Source organism: Homo sapiens, chromosome 5 (genome assembly GCF_000001405.40).
Source record: "Homo sapiens chromosome 5, GRCh38.p14 Primary Assembly".
NCBI lineage: Eukaryota > Metazoa > Chordata > Mammalia > Primates > Hominidae > Homo > Homo sapiens.
The window spans coordinates 81,294,723-81,314,189 of record NC_000005.10 but is presented as its reverse complement, the minus strand read 5'-3'; the positions used below and the strand labels follow the sequence as shown (position 1 = coordinate 81,314,189).

The window sequence follows — 19,467 nt, the reverse complement described above, 5'->3', positions numbered from 1 at the left end:
AAGGTTGCAGTAAGCCAAGATTGTGCCACTGCACTCTAGCCTGGGTGACAGAGTGAGCTATCAAAAAAAAAATTATACACACACACACACACAAAAAGTAATCCAAAAAAGACAAAGTGGATACCAACATTCTTGCACTGAAGACTACAAAAAGCATTAGACCTAACTTTCAGCTGACAGGCTGTAGACTCTGCTCCTGATGGGACAGGTGAAATAAATCTGGGTGCGTTCGGACTAGATGACTAAGGCAGCATTACTGTCCTTTTCCAACTGCCTGGCTTGTGCAATTCCTTCTAAATAGCACTCATTTCCTTAAGCTCTGGGATGCTGAGCAGTATTTTGTCATGTTTTCCTCTCACACTGAAATAAAAGAACAGCTCCTATTAAGACTAGAACTGTCGAGTTGTGCAGAGATGAAAACAGAGAAAAGTGTTTCTTTTCTTATTTGGTAAATATTTTGCTTTTGAGGCATCAGTAACTAATCACAGCTGTTTCCTTTAGTTACAAATGGATTCAATCAGGTAAAATTTCAAATGAAACACAAAACCACTAGAGTCATTCCATTATACAGTACAATGGTAGTGTTAAGCCTTGTGAAATATATGTATTAAGTATGCATGAATTCATCAAATCAAACAAAGAAGCTAATGGGTCTCTGATTAGTGTTCTAACTCTATTATGGTGATACTTCCATCTTACTCTGACTCATCTAAAACATGAGAACAAAATGCTATTAAGTTTATTATACCATCTGTTATCTGCCATCATTCTGGTTAAGTAACAAAAACTGAATTTTGGCTAGAAGTTCTCTCTTGAAAATCAAGGGCAAAAAAGAGCTGCTGTTAAACTGAGATATTTCAATTTTAACTTCAGTAACTTGGAATCCTTTATGTCAAAACTAAAACAAAAACCAAATCCCTGTTTATTCTCATCTAGGATTCAAAAAAAATCTTGTTTCCAATGGGATTGTTACATGGATATTAACGAACAATGGATATTTCAATCGAGAATCAAGTATTCAGAAAAATTATACACAAAAATATTTCTATTGCTTAATAGAAAACATATTTTTATTCCGTACTTTAAAAATATAGACTTTCTAGCAACTTATAAATTTCTATTATAATAATAAATTGATACTTTGAGCCAAGAAAACAATATAACCAAAAATTCATTTGTTCCCTTTGTTTAGGGGTGTTTTACATTTATGCATAATTTTGCTTTTATAAAAGATGATTGTTACAATCAGGTATACAACTACTTGGTTATGTCTAAGTTCTGTCTCTTAAAATATGTTCTTTTAGAGAATTCATTTAATCATCTTATTCTTTTCTTCAATTTTCTCCAAACAGTGGTAGAAGTACTATTTGATAGACAGAATAAAGAAAATTGTTTTTGGCCACACCCAGATCATACTGATATCTACAGCATAGTCCTGGCTACAGGGGAGCTCAACTCTAACTCGTGAAGCGGGCCTGGTTTAGAAAGTAACAATGAGGTAGTAACTCATGATAGTGCTAGCTGTTATCAAAAATTAACAACTTTAGGTATTTTTGTTTTGGGTTTTTGCGGTTTAGGTACATCCAAAATTTCTTCATAGTCTGCACTCATTCCCTTTGCCCAGCGACCAACTGTGACCATTCGCTCTGTAAAGGAATAGAAAAATCAGAATGTTAGAAAAACAGTAATCAAATGCATCCACTCAGATTGTTATTGGTTTGGGAAAGGAACTCATTTTGATATGAATAATCACAAGGAGGGAAGACTCCATCACTAAAGGAAAGTGAGCAATTCTGTAATTGATTATAACCCTTGATTTCAGAGTACCACAGGCAATTTCTCATCCCAATTAGGGAAATGCAGCAACTACTTTGCAATGCACGAACTGATGAGAAAGCTCTTTCATTCTTTCCCAGAGTTCATCATTACAGAGTCAATGAATTCCAAGAGTCTGTAAACAGCAAGGCTTATGAAGCATCAGTTTTAAATGCACAAGATTCCACCTGTGAAATTATACAACATCTGCTTGTCAGTCTTGTCATTTGGGAAGTGGCAATCCTCCCAGGAGGGAGAATTCAAATTCCACTTCATCATTTCAATCTCACTGCCTACAATGTACTAAAGACTATCTTCTAGACAAGCTTGTAAATAAGAACTCTTGGTTTTCAAATTTAAATGTTAGGGATAGGAAGTAAGAATGAGCAGACTTATTTGCGTAGTGTTGTGACTACGTGAAATAAAAAAAAGTGCTCTTTCCATAAGAAGCACTGCTGGGCTATCCTACTGTCTTCTTGCTTTCCTTCACATAGGATTATCATTCTAGTCCAGGCAAACTAATGTAATAATGATCTCCACTTCCTTAAAAGTCTGCCATAGGTAGAGTGAACATCTCTGAAGTGTTTGATGAATAAGGCTGGTATTTCATCAGGAAGAAAATCGCCAGATACTGTGTAGATAACACATTTTTAATATTTTTGGTAGTTTCTGCAATCAACTCTGAATCTTTTAGGTACATACAAAGCAAAGCATACATAAGGACACTCAATATTAAGGCTATTGAAAGTTATTTCATATTTTTTATTTTCTCAGTGAATTCATATTTTTCTGTAAGTAACAGAATTGGCTCTATTATATTAAATTCATTAGTTAGCAAATATAAATGCTTATGAATCAGGTGTCTTATAAAGTCAGGGTCCCCTAAGGCTTACTGGTCACTTTTTTCCCCCAACTATTCAGTTACTCAATACTATGTGTGTCTATTGCTGACAGAGATTAAGTCATTGCTACAGTAGGAAAACAGGTTGTCTTAAAATCATTAGTATCCCAATTGAGTTATTAATAACAAGTGCAGAATAAAACGCAGAGGAATACTAATCTCACCCCTTCTAAGTAGAGGCCCAGAGATCTCACCTGAATTCTGACTTTCAGGGCAATCTTTCTTTAAATGTTCCACAGAGCCACAAAGTTTGCAACCGCCACCTATTGAAAGAGCAAAGCCACTGAATACCATCTCATACTTGCAAGGGGTTTTTAACATCTCAAAGCACTTTCACATCTTACTGGATCCTCACAACCCTGTCAGTTGTAAAGGTAGCTAGACCAGGATCATAGGGAGGTGCCACTATTCCTATTAATTCATTCTCCATTCCTTTTAACCTCACAGAGCACTAAATTGTACCCACCCACTGCTTCTTGCACCTGGCCTTGAGAAGTAGGAAAAAGAAATGAGATATGATGGAAGGCACTTGTTCAAGAGCTATTGCACAGAAGCCTGGATCTTAACAATGCTTAGACAATCAAGAGTCTGTGAACCCTTGGACCTGTAAACAAAAGATGTAAGCAGATGCACTTTCCTGAATAGCATGTCAGATTCTCAAACAGTCAATGGCCCAAAAACAGATTAGAAACTACTGTTCTACTGTACAGATCAGATGGGGGTAAGCATTTATGAAAGAAATAAAGTTAATTTTTGTTTCAGTGCCTTCCACTGGCCAGGCACCCTAACCCTATAAAAATGCCCACCTGCCTACTTTAAACAACATTCCAGGATTGTGAATTACAACACATGTGGTTTCTAAAATAAGTGTTTCACTTAATGATCAAACACTATTGCTTAATGGTCAAGCATTATCTTGATCATGCTCGAAATGTTAAGTGACTTAGAAAAATGACCTAATCAGATACAAATCTGGCTGAATTTTCTTTTTTTTTTCCCCCAAATCTTGACTTTATTTTTAACATAAAAATGCAAATGTGGAAACCCACCCTACTTTTCCCCCAACATAATGCTTTACCTCTTAAAAATAAAGTACTAATTCTATATACATCAAATGTACCATACAAAAATGTATCCAGTGTTTCTATTGCTACTAAAGTGTTCTAAATTAAAACAAATCGCAGAAAGCCCCTTATTGTAAACAAAAGATTACAAGGTATAAAATCAAGGCACACACAGGCAAATATGGCCAAATTTTCACATCTATGGGATCTACTCTCCTTGCTGCATTAATTTTTTTTTTTTTTTTTTTTTTTACAGCTAGTCACTTTGGTTGACCAGTGAAAGCCATTTTTGCTCACTAGTCATGTTATCTACCCAGTTTTATAAGCTCAAAACTGAAATGCACCTGAGCATTTTCCAGGCCCTGGCCTCTTTATATGCCATAGTGAAAGAGAAGCACTTGAATAATACATTTTAATCCTTATAAAAATTCTTTAGGCAAATACCATAATTCATCAACTCTAAGACACCACTGATTATAAGATGTATCATTATTGCACATACCTCTCAGAAAGAAAAACAGCTGTCAATTATATGGGACCCACCAACGGTAAGATACATTCTGATTTCCAAGAGATTAAAATTGAAAAACTGTGCATCTTAGAATCAATAAAATATAGTTTTATCATCTCCACTCTATAGGTGAGGAAACGGAGATCAGAGTTTGGTAGTTGGCCAAAGCCCCCCAGCTAGTGAGTGGCAGTGCTGGCGCTGTAACCCAAGTCTGACCAACTCCAAAAGCTATGCTTTTTCACTGGACTTCTCCAGGAGGGAAACCCAGGACATGACACAAGAAACGTCTAGAGCCTGATGGCACCAGCCATCACATTAACAGATAACAACCTCCGCCTTAAAGCTTTAGACCGCATAGACTTTACTGTGTGAACCTTAATTACCCGAGTTAAAGAGAAAAAAGCTACATGATCCCATACCAGACAAATAACTAAGAAAAAAAATTCAGAAGCAAACATTACTACAATATTGAATCATCTGTACCCACCCCTCCACCAAAATGATATGCTGGCTGAGGCTGAATATATAATACGATTTTAAAAACCTCATATTAGCTTGAGATATAATCTCTCTGCTTCTGTTATGTCTAAAAGTAGAAATGTATGACATAGTCTCACAAATGATGAAGCAAGCACAGTTGGAAATATACACCTTAGTTTTTTCTGATTTGTTTTATTAACATCTGAAGTCAAATTGCACAAAAAGCCTAGTACATATGATAGCACTTGATAAAAATAATGTAATTCTCAAGGTTTTGCAATTTATTCAAGAATTTATTCAAGAACTGTGATTGAGTGTAAATTAAATCACAACTGCACGATGACTCACCATTTCTGCTATATGAGGGTAACAGTACTTACCATCAGCATAGAGTCCTTTGGGATTATCAGGACAAGATCTAGACAGGTGCCCCATTTCTCCACAAACAAAACATTTTGCAAAAGGAAATTCGCCTGTAAAAATCAACAGTTCCTATTCAGTTGACAATACATATGGCAAGTCATAAAATTAACATTATTTTAAAATACTCTGAATAAAAAATATATTTACATAACTTAAAATTTAATCTCATATGATTTCCAAATACTAAGTGGCACACTCGTAACAAATTGTGTTAAAAAAATACCCAAGGTGCTATTTATTGGCTTTCCCCATGAACAAAACAAAAAACTGAAAGAAACACATACCAAGAGCCGGGTCTACTTTAGCCTTACACTTGGTTATTTCGTGCTCTGTGGACCCACACCTGTAACATATCCCAGTGCCCATGTCTTGATTTTCAAGGGCGGCGGGGCAATCTGCAATTCCATGACCAGGTTTTCTACAATGGAAACACACCTAGGAAAACAAAACGTAGGTTGGCACGCTGCAAAACTATACCAGTGACTTTATTAATTCTTGTTATCAAAAACATATTTAAAACATTTCTCATCTTATTAAGCTATTTTTCTGAAATCTCAATATTTGTAGAAAAAAGCTTTCATACGTTCCTAAACAACGAGATATCCTTTCCATCAGAGGGTTTCATTGCTTTTGAAAACCTCAATCAATAAATCCATAAATCTCAGGAACAATGTTATATATGTGGCTTTGTAGACGGCAATTGCTTAAATGAATTGAGCAAATATGGACTATTCATTTTATTAACTGGAATGTCTGCAGTAGAAAAATGGCATTTTCTATAGGAAATGGACAGTGGCTATAAAAACTGTCACTCAAAATTTGTATTTGTATATAATTATGTACTCAAAATTTTAAAAAATTAATATTTCTTTTAAAGTTCACATAATTGAATGAATTTGGGTCAGACATTTCCATTCAAATTATGATTCAAACCATAAGATAGATAGATAGATAGATAGATAGATAGATAGATTTTTTTTTTTTTTTTTTTTTTTTTTTTTGAGACGGAGTCTTACTCCATCACCCAGGCTGGAGTGCAGTGGCCCAATCTCAGCTCACTGAAAACTTTGCCTCCTGGGTTCAAGTGATTCTCCTGCCTCAGCCTCCCAAGTAGCTGGGATTACAGGTGTGTACCACCACCTGGCTAATTTTTGTACTTTTAGTGGAGACGGGGTTTCACCATGTTGGCCAGGCTGGTCTCGAACTCCTGACCTCAGGTGATCCACCCGCCTCGGCCTCCCAAAGTGCTGGGATTACAGGCATGAGCCACCACGCCTGGCCATAAGATATATTTCATAGCAAAAAGTATATCCTTGTTTTTTACCCTAAATACTTTTTTGTTTTTTGAGACAGAATCTCGCTGTCACCAGGCTGGAGTGCAGTGGCGTGATCTCGGCTCACTGCAACCTCCGTCTCCCAGGTTCAAATGATTCTCCTGCCTCAGCCTCCCAAGTAGCTGGGATTACAAGCACGCACCACCACGCCCAGCTAATTTTGGTATTTTTTAGTAGAGATGGGATTTCATCATGTTGGCCAGGATGGTCTCGATCTCCTGATGCACCTGCCTCAGCCTCCCAAAGTGCTGGGATTACAGGCATGAGCCACCACACCCAGCCATACACATTCTTTAATATTCAGAAATAGGTTTCATTTTTAGAATATATGCACAATACATTTTAAAGGAATAATTTATTCCAAGATGAATTATTTGGCTCCAACATAAAACTGAGCAATGGTTAGTTGTTTACAGAAATTTGAAGAATTTTTTTGCTGCAATAAATGAGAACATCAACCATAATCAAAGATGGCAGATATTTAAACTATTTTATTTAAACTGGAAAAAGATATACATATTTCTTGGATAATAAATAGTCATTTAATTATGTTTTTTCAAAATAAGCACAGGTTTTTTTAAAAAGCAAATTCAACCAGCAAAATAAAACATTTATTTTGCAACTGTCCTTTTTTTCCTACTTAATAAAATATTGAAAAAGAATGAGTCCCTTTAAATTCTTCAGTAACTTGTACATTTAGAATGAGCTGGTCCAAAAAAAAGAAGCTGTATTTATTATACAAATGCAGGAAAAGCTACTGCTAAAACCTGCATCACCACCATAAGAAGTCTTGGCTTCTTGGTGAAGTCAAGGTGGTCTCTACTAAGCTGAGACTACTGCCTTAGTTCACTGCCTTCTCTTTTAAAACCTAATCATCACCTAATACAACATTTTTGAATGGTCCTTAAGTTTAATGTAGATGGGATTGTGAAGCACTGATTGTAAATTTCTATAGCATATCATTTTATTAGCATTTAAGGACCGATGCTTAGTATAAGGTATTAAAAAAATACCAAGGAAGTAAATTTAACAACAGGTCATAACAAGCCATATACTATTTATATAGCACTCCCCTTTTTAAAAAACAATATCCTTCCCCACTTAATTACAAACATAATGCTTTTCTTAAGCGGTCATAACAGTAAATGTTTTCAAATGGTATGTGATTCACCATACCGCCTATGTCAACTAAACTAAAATGACTTAAAATATTTAAAAATCGTTAACTTACACAAAACTCTATCCTGATACCAACAGAAATGTTATCCTTTCTATTCAAATTTATCCATAAGGAATGTTTCATCAGTATTATCTCTAAATAACTATCTTTAAATATAACAATGCATAGACTAATCTTGCAAACAGCCAAAAGACACATTTATAGAGGCTGTTAACATTTTAAGCCTGCAATGGTGCAAACAGTGCTCTACATATAGTAATACTAATAAAAAATAAAAGTATAATAACTAGCAACAAGTCCTCATTCTTATGAAGTGGTGTACTAGGAGGCTTGGGAAACTCACTTAGAGAAGGGAAATAATTATACCAAGTATTTCATCCCCTTTGCCTGACATACTTTAAAATCTAGGGCTAGGCATTAGAGAAAGAAACCTGCTGCCCCCAGCATTCTTCTGAATGTAATATGGGGGAGGGAGGAAGCAATGACTAGGGAGTCTCAAGGACTTTCAATTCTGCTATTACTCTGCTCTAACTAGTATGACTCCTATGTATCTCTTTCCTGTGCTTCAGTATTTCATAGATAAAGAACATCCTTTCCAAGTAATAGGGACCCACACACATTTAACCTGTTCTACTTCATCTTCTTCATAATTTTGACATTTTCTCAATGCTAATTTGAAAAAGGGGCTATTGGAAGGTGAGGATAGGTTTTGGTTTTTTTGGAGGACGAACTCTCGTTTTGTCACCCAGACTGAAATGCAGCGGTTGATCACATGGTTCACTGTAGCCTCGACCTCCCAGGCCCAATCCTCCTGCCTCAGCTGGCAGTAGTAGCTGGGATCACAGGTGTGTACCACCACACCTGGCTAATTTTTTTTTTTTTTTTTGGTAGACATGGCGTCTCCCTATGTGGCCCTGGCTCGTCTTTAATTCCTGGGCTCAAGTGATCCTCCCGCCTCAGCTTCCTAAAGTGCTGGGATCACGGGCATGGGCCACCACATCTGGTCTATAACGTAGGTTTTGAAGTCAGGCTGGGTTTGAATGTCACCTCTGCTACTAGCTAAGTGGCTTCCACAGGTTATTTAATCTATCTGCACTTCAGTGTTTGCCATCCATAATATGGGAATATATGCCATCACCTTTGCTGTGTTGTTGTAATAATTAACCAGTACATCATGTGCCTAGCATATATGTGCTAAAAAAGTACTAGTCCTTAAAACGATGCTCTATAAATCTGGGACATAATGGTAACCAGAGCTGGCTAAGGTATATATGTGTGTGAATATAAGAATAGTTTCCAGCTAAATAAAGTAAATAACATGGTAGAAGTGATGCTCTCACCATTGCATTTTTCTTTGCCGCTTGTCTTTTTAATCTTCTTCCTTCCCGTCGACTGTCTTTCTTTAAAGCAACTGCAATTTCTTCCCTTACTTCCTCACTGTCTGTTGCTATAATTTGCCCATTGTGAACCATCTGTGAATTCTGTCTTAGGTATTCCATGAATCCATTCACATCTTCATTTAAGTACTCTTTTTTCTTTTTGTTCTTTTTATGTTTTGCTTGGGGTGCATCATTTTTGAGGGATAGCCTATTGGCTTCAAGTTGTTTACGCTTTGGTAGGTTTTGGCTTGTTCCCTCAAAGGATCCCTTCTTCATGTCCTCCCATGATGTTGCAGGCAAGGGTCTCTTGTTATATGTGGTACTAACTCGGGCCCACCTGGTCATAATTTCATCAGTGGTACCTTATCAATTTTTAAGACAAGCATGGGTGGTTAGCCATCAACAACAAAAACAACAAAACTAAAGAGACATGCTATATCACTATATGTCACATATGCCCATATGTTAAACTTTTAATTATTAAAACACTTTTTATTTCAGTTAGATATCTGTATACATATTTAATGCTATAATATGCTGCATAGACATGCTTCTAACATAAATCTACCACTTACCAGAAAAGCTGCCACACCAGTTAAAAAAGGTGTGCTTAAAATTGAAAAACTATCTTAAGAAACCAAATTATTTCATAAAATATAAATCAGATAGTAATACAATGAATGCAATTATTCCTCCCACATTCTGCAGTTTTCCCGGCTGTTTATTTTCCTATCTCCAAGTCCCACAGCTACTTTCTCCCAATCTTCTTGCTTCGTCTGCCATTTCAATGCAACAATTTGCATAGCAGATTACTAAGTATACAGAAATCATGTCCTTTAATATGAAGTTTGTTGAAATTTCCTGGCAAAGTTATAAGTAAAACATATAAAAGTGTTTACCATCACAGGATGATCCCGGGCTTCCTCTTACTAATCAAGGTATAAGCTACTTCCAGCCCAGTGATTTCACATCATCTTCAATTCTATTTAAATTATGACTTGAATCATAAGATATATTTCACACCAAAATCTGTATCTTGTTTTTATACTCTTAATACATATGCTTTAATATTCAGAAATAACTTTTCATTTTAGAGCACATACATAAAGAAGTAATTTATCCTAACACTAATGATTTGGCTCCAACATAAAATGGAAAAAAGTTTTGGTCACTTACATACTACCTAGTGATTTGGAGGATATTTTTTTCCTGCAATGAATGAGAACATTCAGCCATAATCAAAGATTCATCAGCTAGTCACATGCTACATAACATTTAGGTCAACAGCGACTGCACACATGATACTGGTCTCAGATGATTATAATGGAGCTGAAAAATTCCTATTGACTTTGTAGCCCTCATAACTTGTAGTGTAACACATTACTCATGTCTGTGGTAATGCTGGTGTAAACAAACCTGGGATGCCAGTCATATACAAGCATAATGCTTACAATGATGTACTGTACATAATACTAGACAATTATAAGTATTCCAGAAAAAAGCAGTTATTATAGGAGATGACAGCTCCATTCATGTTACTGCCCCTGAAAACCTTCCAGTAGGACAAGATGTGGAGGAAGAAAAGAGTGATATTGATGCTCCTGACCCGGTGTAGGCACAATGTGTGTGTCTTAGTTTATAACAACAAAAAAAATTTTTACAGGAAAAAGCTATAGAATAATGTAAGGGAATAAAGAAAATATTTTTATATAGCTATACAACACATTAGCATTTTAAGCTAAGTGTTATTACAAAAGAGTGGGCCGGGTATGGTGGCTCACGCCTGTAATCCCAGCACTTTGGGAGGCCAAGGCCAGGTGGATCACAAGGTCAGGATATCGAGACCATCCTGGCCAACATGGTCAAACCCCATCTCTACTAAAAATACAAAAATTAGCTGGGCGTGGTGGCGCACTCTTGTAGTCCCAGCTACAGGCGCGCACCACCTGGGAAGCTGAGGCAGGAGAATCGCTTGAACTCAAGAGGTGGACGTTGCAGTGAGCTGAGATTGCGCCACTGCACTCCAGCCTGGGTGACAAGAGCAAAACTCTGTCTCAAAAATGAGAGACAGAGAGAATAAACTCCGTCTCAAAAAAAAAAAAAAAAGGTCAAGGAGTTAAAATTAATTTAAAAGTTTATAAAGTTAAAAAAGCACAGTAAGCTAAGGTTATTACCTTATTTTTAATAAACTTAGACTAAGCATACCGCATTTATAAAGTCTACAGTAGTGTACAGTAATACCCTAAATAATATCGTAGGCCTTCACACTCACATACCACTCACTGACTCACTTAATAGCTACCGACAGCCCTGCAAGCTCCATGCGTAAGTGCCCTATTCAGCTGTACCATGTTTTCTTTTACACTATATTTTTACAGTATCTTTTCTGTGTTTAGATACACACCATCCTTTTACAACTGCCTACAGTATTTAGTAGTTATACTGTACAGGTCTGTAGACTAGGAGTAACAGGCTATCCCATACGGCCCAGCTGTGTAGGTTTGTGCAAGTACACTATGATGTTCACACAACCACGAAACGGCCCAACCATTTCTCATAACTATACCAGTTCTTAAGGGGAGCATGGCTGTATTAAGCCACCACCTTTTTTGTTGTTGTTGTGGTCGTTGTTGAGACGGAGTCTCACTCTGTAGCCCAACCTGGAGTGCAGTGGGCGATCTTGGCTCACTGCAACCTCTGCCGCCAGGGCTCAAGCGATTCTCGGGCCTCAGCCTCCCGAATAGCTGGGATTACAGGCGCGTGCCACCACGCCCAGCTAATTTTTTGTATTTTAGTAGAGAAGGGGTTTCACCATGTTGCCCAGGGTGGTCTCGAACTCCTGAGCTCAGGAGATCTGCCCGCCTCGACCTCCCAAAGTGCTGGGATTACAGGCGTGAGCCACCGCGCCCGGCCTAAATTATCACCTTTTAAGACCAGCATCCCTGGCAACCCCCCAAGTCTCAGCTCCTAGTAACAGAAAGACCCCTTCCACAGAAGCTGAAGGGTGGACCCAATGAATTGGTGTGAGAAACTCCATGCCACTTTACCAGCGCACTCTTCGCTGAAGTTTATGCGACTGTCATAGTGGGGACCGAAGCTGTTCAAAAGGAAGTAGATTATCCTTCCCCTACGTACGTGGGAAGGGGGAGGCTCTGGGTTATCAAGAGGGTGAAGTGGGAGAGCCAAGCGGCCCACCCACAGGCGGATTCCAGGGCGGCTGGACGCACAGCCCCCAGCAGCCGGAGCCCAACAGCTGAGGTCGCCGCCCCTAGACAGCCCGCGCTCCAGCCAGCTCAGGGACCCAGCGGCTAAGCCTTCTGTCCTCCCAGCTTCCCACGCAAGTTCCGCCAGGCCAGAGGGAACGAACGACGAGACCCTGCAGCTTTGGTGGCTGAGAACCTCACCTCACCGCGCTACCGCGCAGCTTCTTACCGCGCACGAATCCCCCAGAGCAGCCGAGTTGGCGAGCCGGGGAAGACCGCCCTCCTGCGGTATTGGAGACCGGAAGCACATAGTGCCCGAGAGCGCGTCACTTCCGGCGTCACAGACGGTCTTTACAAGCGACTCGTGGGCGTCAATACTGGGCTGAGTTTGTGGCGCGCTTAGTGATGGGATGGCCCTGTGCAGGACGCCGACACGAAAAGATGAAGAGTTCAATCCGTGCTGTCTGAACTCACAGTGTAGCAGGCGAGATAGACGGGAAGATCGGTAGGGTGGGAGATGCCGGAAAGGCTTCCCGTGAGACTGGATAAGAAATCAAAAATCTGGTGAAATTGCCGGCAAGAGGGAGTTAAGGACATTCCAGGCAGAGGCAAGGTAAAGGCGCGGTGGGAGTGGGTCACTGTGATAAAAGTCTGAAAAGGACATTTGGGGGCTCTCTTGGGTGAGAGGCAGTGCCTCATGTCCCCCCTTCAGTGCTCGTTGAGCATTCAATTAAAATGTTAACACTTTGTAGCCAAACAAGTTCTCTTTTTAAGAGGAAAACCCTGGATTTCCAAACGGCTCATTTTCTGTAGCTTCTTGCAAATGGATACCACCACCAGCTGTGCCTAGTGAAAAAATGCAATTTACCAGGACCACTACTCTCAACAGTTTGCTCAATCCATTTAACCTTTTGAATATTTGTCCACTTCTTTTTATCTCTGTTGGCACCTCCTCCCTTGTCCCATATTGTACCTGTAGTTCTACAACTGGTCTGGGGATTCATTCTGCCCCAACTCCCTGAAATCCATTTTCCGTGTCGTAGGAACGGAACTTTTGAAAATGTAAATCATTACATTTAAAGCAGTACTGCTGTACTGCTTTAAACTCTCCCTTCGCTTCCCATTGTTTTAGGATGAAATTCGAACTCCTTATGAAGTCCCTGCCTACTTCCCTAGCCTCACCTTGCTCAGTCTCTCCTTTGAGCTCCGTGCATAGGATCATTTTTTCAATTTCTCAAATGCCGTGTGTACCTTGCCATCTCCAGGCCTTTACATTTGCTAGTCTCTTTGTATGGTACTCCTTTTCTTCTTCCAGTTACTTTCTACTCACCCTTCAAGGCTTTAAGTATTTTATTCTCAAGAAAGCCTTCCAGCCCCCTACCCCCATACTAGACCAATCCCCTACTGTGTGCTCACGGCAGTCTATACTTTCTTATGACACGGTTCACATTTGTAATTACACAATAATTGTGTAAGTTTATTGTATCCTCATTGCCTGGTACATCCTTGGTGCTCACTGCGTATTTGTTTTTTTGTTTTGTTTTGTTTTGTTTTTTGAGAAGGAGTTTGGCTCTTGTCGCCCAGGCTGGAGTGCAATGGCGCGATCTCGGCTCACTGCAACCTCTGCGTCCCGGGTTCAAGCGATTCTTCTGCCTCAGCCGCCCAAGTAGCTGAGATTACAGGCGCCCGCCACCGCGCCCGGCTAGATTTTGTATTTTTAGTAGTGATGGGATATCGCCATGTTGGCCAGGTTGGTCTCAAACTCCTGAGTTAGGCGATCCGCCCACCTCTTCCCTCCAAAGTGCTGGGATTACAGGCGTGAGCCACCGCGCCTGGCCCTCGTATTTGTTAAGTAAATGAAGAATAAGTACTTTGCGATGTTTGTTTAAAGCAAACTAGAAAGTGGCCCAGTTTTCTTTAAGAGAAGGGATTTTAAAGTCAGTGCTTGTAGGAATGTTGAGATTTGGTATGGTACATATCACAAATACCGTAGTTCATATGGTGGAGAAAGTTTTAAAAGACAACAAACAAACAACAGCAACTTCCAGCTCTTGAAGATAGGGAACTTCCTAAAAGATGTGTGGTAGTGCTGCCCATACTGTAATGATCTCAACCAGCTGGTTTCAGGGTAGTGACATTTCATGAAGAGGTTTTATCTTTGGTAGATGCAAGGTACTTACACATAACATACCACTAGAGGGCGCATTTAACTAAAACTTTTCTTTTTAGTGGTATATTGCATTTTAAACTGTAGGTCGTTCATTCTTGGAAGCAAAGGAACATACCGATTTCTTTTTGTAGCGGTATGTCCAATAAAGATTAGTAGTTGAGCAAATAGGGCGTAGAATAAGTCCTTTGGAATTCGGAGGAAACTATTGCTACTAATAGCTAACTTTACTGAACATTTTATAGGTGCCAGCAGTATGCTTAATGGTTTGCATTCGTTACCTAATTAGTCCACTCAGTATTCTGTGAGGTTGGTACTATTATTTTCTCCATTTTGCAATGAGGGAATAAATTCACAGAGCTGACGTAACTTATCCAAGGTCAGACAGCTAATAAGAGGTAGAGTCAGGATTTGAACCAAGATCTCAATCCAAACCTGTGTGCTCTGCTACTTTGAAATACTGCAGAGGATTGTTTGTCTACTTGATCCACTTTAAAACACTTTACTAAGTTATCCTTGCCCAAATTCGATTTTTTTTTTTTGGAAAGTATTTACTTTTACAGTTCAAGGGATTATGTTTGTATTCAGTTTTCCCATCTACTTATTGAAATACTGTAAATGTATTTTTTATAACAATATTATCAGGAAGGTAAATGTTAAATAAGGAATTCTGGTCGTCTTCTCAATTTTCCTGCTGCTGTTTCTTTTCCAGTCCTCAAATTGCTGATTTATAGCTTGATTCACTGGCAGAGACAGTGGAGTGTGCTTATTCCATATTACCAGGAATTGAAACCACTACCATTAGAATTTTAAATCTTCATTCTTGCCCAGATTCTCTCTGAATATTAGGCGCTTGGCCACCCTAGATGAAGTGACCAATAGGTGATGAGGACTAGAAGTGTCCAAGGCCCAGCCTGGGTGGACCATCCCTCTAACTGACTCACACATTAGAGTGAACAGCCTCCAGGCAGCCAGTTTACCTATAGAGCAATTTGGAACGGAGAACAGTGAATCTGGAAAGGAAGGCTGGGATGAGATTTTGCCAAATTAAAGTGTTTTTAAATGTGAAATTATAGTGTTCAAACTTTATCCATTAGAGCTTAAGCAATGAACAACTGTGGATAGTGTTTTAGATCATACAGGAGATCCCATAAAATAGATCTGGAGAAGAGGATTGTGTGGAAAACTGTACCTAATGCATTCTCCGGGCAGTTATTGAACTTTTTTATAGTATGCAGAAAAATACAGCAGAAGAGAGAGGAAAAAAATTAATGACCCTGCTGTTGGAAATAAAAATAAGATCCAGACCAGTGACATTCTGACATCTTAAAAACCTGTCAGTGATATTTTTAGCTGCTTTAGGATCCTTACAATAAGGCCCATGAGTAATAGGATTGTGAGGGTTTTTTTCTTTATACATAATTTTACAGATATTCTTTAATGGGTGTGTATTACATTTAGAATCATTATTAAAGAGTTATTTTTAATCCATGGGAGTTTTGACACAGCACATGAGAATTTCTAATTATAGACTCATAGAAATACATACCTCTTAAAACCCTATCTTCTTGTTTTACAGATCAATAAATTAAGTTTCAGAGAAGTTAAGTGATTGCCATAGAACACAATGCTAGTGACTGAATTTTGTTAACTAACATGCTTTCATTTGCATTGTTGGTTTTCTCAGTAACAAAATTACAAGCAATACTGCTTTATTTCAGAAGTGAAAGAAAATCTATTGGAAGTGTGGAGCAAGAGAAACCTATTAGTGGAAGTTACTTGAGGTTCCTAGGCAATAAGGAATAGGAATAATATAAAGTTTGTGTTACCCTCTGAAAAAGCTTGAATCTCTTTCATCTTCTTTGCTTAAACGTGATAAAGAATAGTGTTGGAACACTAATCACAAAAATGATGTATCCTTCTGACTCATCTTACCATCTTGTTGTATTTCTCAAATTTGAGTTCCTAATCATGTGTTTCGGTGGTTAGGATGTTAAGTGCTTCAAATGAATACTTAAACCTAAATTACAAACAAGTGGCAAGATTTGCAAGCTCTCCTTTATTCTCTGAAATGCGTACTTCCTCCTCCTTATGTCTGAGGAAATCATACCAGATACGGGCCTTAGACTGTCCATTCCAAGGAACAATGAGAGGTCTTGCAGTTACAAATGGAATTCTGTAAAATAGGATAGGTGAGGAAAAAGCACTTTTTGATGTCTACTATTTGCCAGTACCTTAAGTGCTAAATATATACAAATGACAGAGAGGTCCCTGCCCTTAAGCAGCCAAGAGCCTGTGAGAGTAAGACAGATTGCTAAACCACTAATAAGCTGATGTTATAATTAGTGAGGGAATTATGGTGATATAGAGATTACAGATAAAATATTTCTTCCTGGGAAGTTTTAAGAAAAACTTCACAGTAGAATGTGTTGCAGACAACTGGAGAGAGGGATCAGGGAGGTGAGGAGGAGGAGTCAGTAAAAAATAAATACATGTACTCGATCTAAAATCCTCTCCAATAAGCTGAAATGCTTTTGCAGATAAGACTGACACACGCTGACATATACACAAAAAAGAGATAAAAATTTATGCTAGTACTTCATAAAAGGTCAAAGTGAACATAACCAAGTGGCAAAAATATTTCGTACTGATTTAGTAACTACTATATAAAATAATCTACCAGTAAGTCTGGGTAAAAACAGTACAGTAATTAATGATTTCAGATGAACTAATTTAAGAGGACCACATACGAGGAAAAACATAACCTGCCCAAAACTATGGCATAGCAAATAAATGATCATAGGAAAAGAGGTCCCACAAATATTTAAGAAACATTTATGGACCAAGAAGATGTAGAAAGTCACATTTACATATATTCCGGAAGATGTGAGAGTCTAATGGTGAGCTCTATGAAGATGAATTGGACACAGTTCATACCCCCAGAGGAATCTGGTAAAGAAGACAAACAGGGCCAGGCGCGGTGGCTCACTTCTTTAATCCCAGCACTTTGGGAGGACGAGGCAGGCGGATCACCTGAGGTCAGGAGTTCGAGACCAGCCTGGACAACATGATGAAACCTCGTCTCTAGTAAAAATACAAAAAAAAAAAAAAAAAAAAAAGCCAAGCGTGGAGGCAGGCACCTGTAATCCCAGCTACTCAGGAGGCTGAGGCAGGAGAATCGCTTGAATCTCGGAGGCAGAGGTTGCAGTGAGCTGAGATCGCTCCATTGCACTCTAGCCTGGGTGACAAGAATGAAACTTTGTCTCAAAAAAAAAAAAACAGATTTTAAATTCCTCAAGGAGCAAATGAAGGAAGGCACTTGTGTAGTTTTGCCCAGGGAAGCTTTATATGGAAGTCACCAGCAAGTTTTCAGAGAGGAAGATTAGCTACACTGAGTGTATGTGGCTTTTAGATCTCTAAACAGTATGTCTTGGAGAAGTACAGCAAACCAGATAGAGATATATATATATAATAGATACATATAATTATATATCTATTATATATAACCAATATTATATATAATAATATAGATATATTAATCTATTATATATAGTATATATAAGATATATACTATATATTATAGATATATCTATTATCTTATATATACTATACATAATTAAATATATATTAGATATATAATATATATCTAATATATAATAGATATATATCTATTATATATAATGTATAATATATAATATGTAGATATATCTATTATATATAATATATATTATATGTAGATATATCTATTATATATAATATGTAGATATATCTATTATATATAATATATAATATATGTAGATATATCTATTATATAATATATAATATATATTATATGTAGATATATCTATTAAATATAATATATAATAGATATAGATATATAATAGATATATCTATAATATGTAATAGATATATCTATCATATGATATATGATATATATCATATGATAGATATATAATAGATATATCTATTATATATGATATATAGACATATATAGACGTATCTAATGATATAGAGAGATATCATATATGATATATCTATTTTATATATATTATATATATATAAAATTTTTAAAAATTCTTCTTTTAAATACTAAGAAGGACTTTTAAGACCTAATCCTAAGGTACAGTATTCAATCTACATGTGTTGCCACTTTTCCTGTATTGGATGTTGGTTTTTAAAACTGAAATTTAGAATGGTAGTGATGGTTATGCAGCATTGTGGATATGCTTAATGCCACAGAACTGTACACTTAAAATGACTAGTAGTAAATTTTGTTACGTATGTTTACCACAATATAAAAAAAATTTTTTAAAAACTTGTGTTTAACCATTTTATGAGTAGTATTTACTTGATTCTCTTGAAGCTCAGTTTTACATCTTTCTCCTTTATTTACTACTTAAGTTACTCTTAAATGTAAGAATCAAGGTGTTAACTATGTATACTTTCCCTTATCACAAAATCTGCAAACAATTTGAATTTAGAATGTGCAATTTGTGAAACACAGCATTCTTAAGAATGTGCATGTTTGTTACATGGGTATATTGCATGATGCTGAGGCTTGGGTTATGATTGATCCCATCACCCAAGTACTGAACATAATACCTAATAGTTTTTCAACCCTTGTTCTCCTCCCTCTAGCAGTCCCCAGTGACTGTTGTTGCCATCTTTATGTCCATGAATACCCAGTGTTCAGCTCCTACTTATAAGCAAGAACATATGGTATTTGGTTTTCTGTTCCTGTGTTAAGTCACTTAACATAATGGCCTCTAGCTTCATCCATGTTGCTGCAAAGGACATGATTTCTTTTTATGGCTGCATAGTATTCCATGGTGTATATGTACATATTTACTTTATCCAGTCCACCATTCATGGGCACCTAGGTTGATTCTGTGCCTTTGCTATTGTGAATAGTGCTGCAGTGAACATATGAGTGCATGTGTCTTTATAACAGAACGATTTACATTCCTTTGAGACCCAGGACTGCTGGATCAAGTGGTAGTTCTCAGTTCT

The 19,467-nt window shown here is 37.6% G+C and overlaps 2 protein-coding genes and 1 long non-coding RNA gene across 12 annotated transcripts in view, besides 4 other annotated features; 2 read left to right on the top strand and 1 right to left on the bottom strand.

The window, feature by feature from the left end:
* Positions 1 to 5,581, top strand: part of ACOT12 (acyl-CoA thioesterase 12) — an 85,526-nt gene extending 79,945 nt beyond the window's left edge. For all 4 annotated transcript variants that reach the window (XM_017009047.2, XM_017009046.2, XM_017009045.2 and 1 more), the window contains one exon: positions 3,164 to 5,581. In XM_017009047.2, the coding sequence (XP_016864536.1) occupies positions 3,164 to 3,215 (52 nt within the window). In that variant the 3' untranslated portion in view covers positions 3,216 to 5,581. The remainder of the gene's footprint in view (positions 1 to 3,163) is intronic.
* Positions 893 to 12,603, bottom strand: ZCCHC9 (zinc finger CCHC-type containing 9). 5 transcript variants are annotated; one of them, NM_032280.3, is made up of 6 exons: positions 12,135 to 12,603; positions 9,049 to 9,449; positions 5,479 to 5,629; positions 5,152 to 5,244; positions 2,911 to 2,979; positions 893 to 1,646 (listed from the first exon to the last, which is right to left on the bottom strand). In NM_032280.3, the coding sequence occupies exons 2-6, from the start codon at positions 9,430 to 9,432 to the stop codon at positions 1,528 to 1,530; spliced, it is 816 nt and encodes a 271-aa protein (NP_115656.1). In that variant the 5' UTR covers positions 9,433 to 9,449; positions 12,135 to 12,603; the 3' UTR covers positions 893 to 1,527. The 5 variants fall into 5 exon arrangements, with proteins under 5 accessions (NP_115656.1, XP_047273783.1, NP_001124507.1 ...); XM_047417827.1 differs by having other exon boundaries at positions 12,223 to 12,603; NM_001131035.2 differs by having other exon boundaries at positions 12,492 to 12,603.
* Positions 11,295 to 12,084: an enhancer, noted in NCBI's record as "H3K27ac-H3K4me1 hESC enhancer chr5:80597925-80598714 (GRCh37/hg19 assembly coordinates)". NCBI's record gives its function as "activates a minimal SCP1, AML or CMV promoter by ChIP-STARR-seq in primed H9 embryonic stem cells {active_cell/tissue: H9 hESC(primed)}" and the evidence as "EXISTENCE:reporter gene assay evidence [ECO:0000049][PMID:30033119]".
* Positions 12,085 to 12,874: an enhancer, noted in NCBI's record as "H3K27ac-H3K4me1 hESC enhancer chr5:80597135-80597924 (GRCh37/hg19 assembly coordinates)". NCBI's record gives its function as "activates a minimal SCP1, AML or CMV promoter by ChIP-STARR-seq in primed H9 embryonic stem cells {active_cell/tissue: H9 hESC(primed)}" and the evidence as "EXISTENCE:reporter gene assay evidence [ECO:0000049][PMID:30033119]".
* Positions 12,092 to 12,271: an enhancer, noted in NCBI's record as "active region_22732". NCBI's record gives its function as "activates an Ori minimal core promoter by ATAC-STARR-seq in GM12878 lymphoblastoid cells {active_cell/tissue: GM12878}" and the evidence as "EXISTENCE:reporter gene assay evidence [ECO:0000049][PMID:35858748]".
* Positions 12,422 to 12,521: an enhancer, noted in NCBI's record as "active region_22731". NCBI's record gives its function as "activates an Ori minimal core promoter by ATAC-STARR-seq in GM12878 lymphoblastoid cells {active_cell/tissue: GM12878}" and the evidence as "EXISTENCE:reporter gene assay evidence [ECO:0000049][PMID:35858748]".
* CKMT2-AS1 (CKMT2 antisense RNA 1) overlaps positions 12,621 to 19,467 on the top strand; it is a 64,005-nt gene continuing 57,158 nt past the window's right edge. For all 3 annotated transcript variants that reach the window (NR_034123.1, NR_034121.1, NR_034122.1), the window contains exon 1: positions 12,621 to 12,903. This is a non-coding gene — a long non-coding RNA (CKMT2 antisense RNA 1). The remainder of the gene's footprint in view (positions 12,904 to 19,467) is intronic.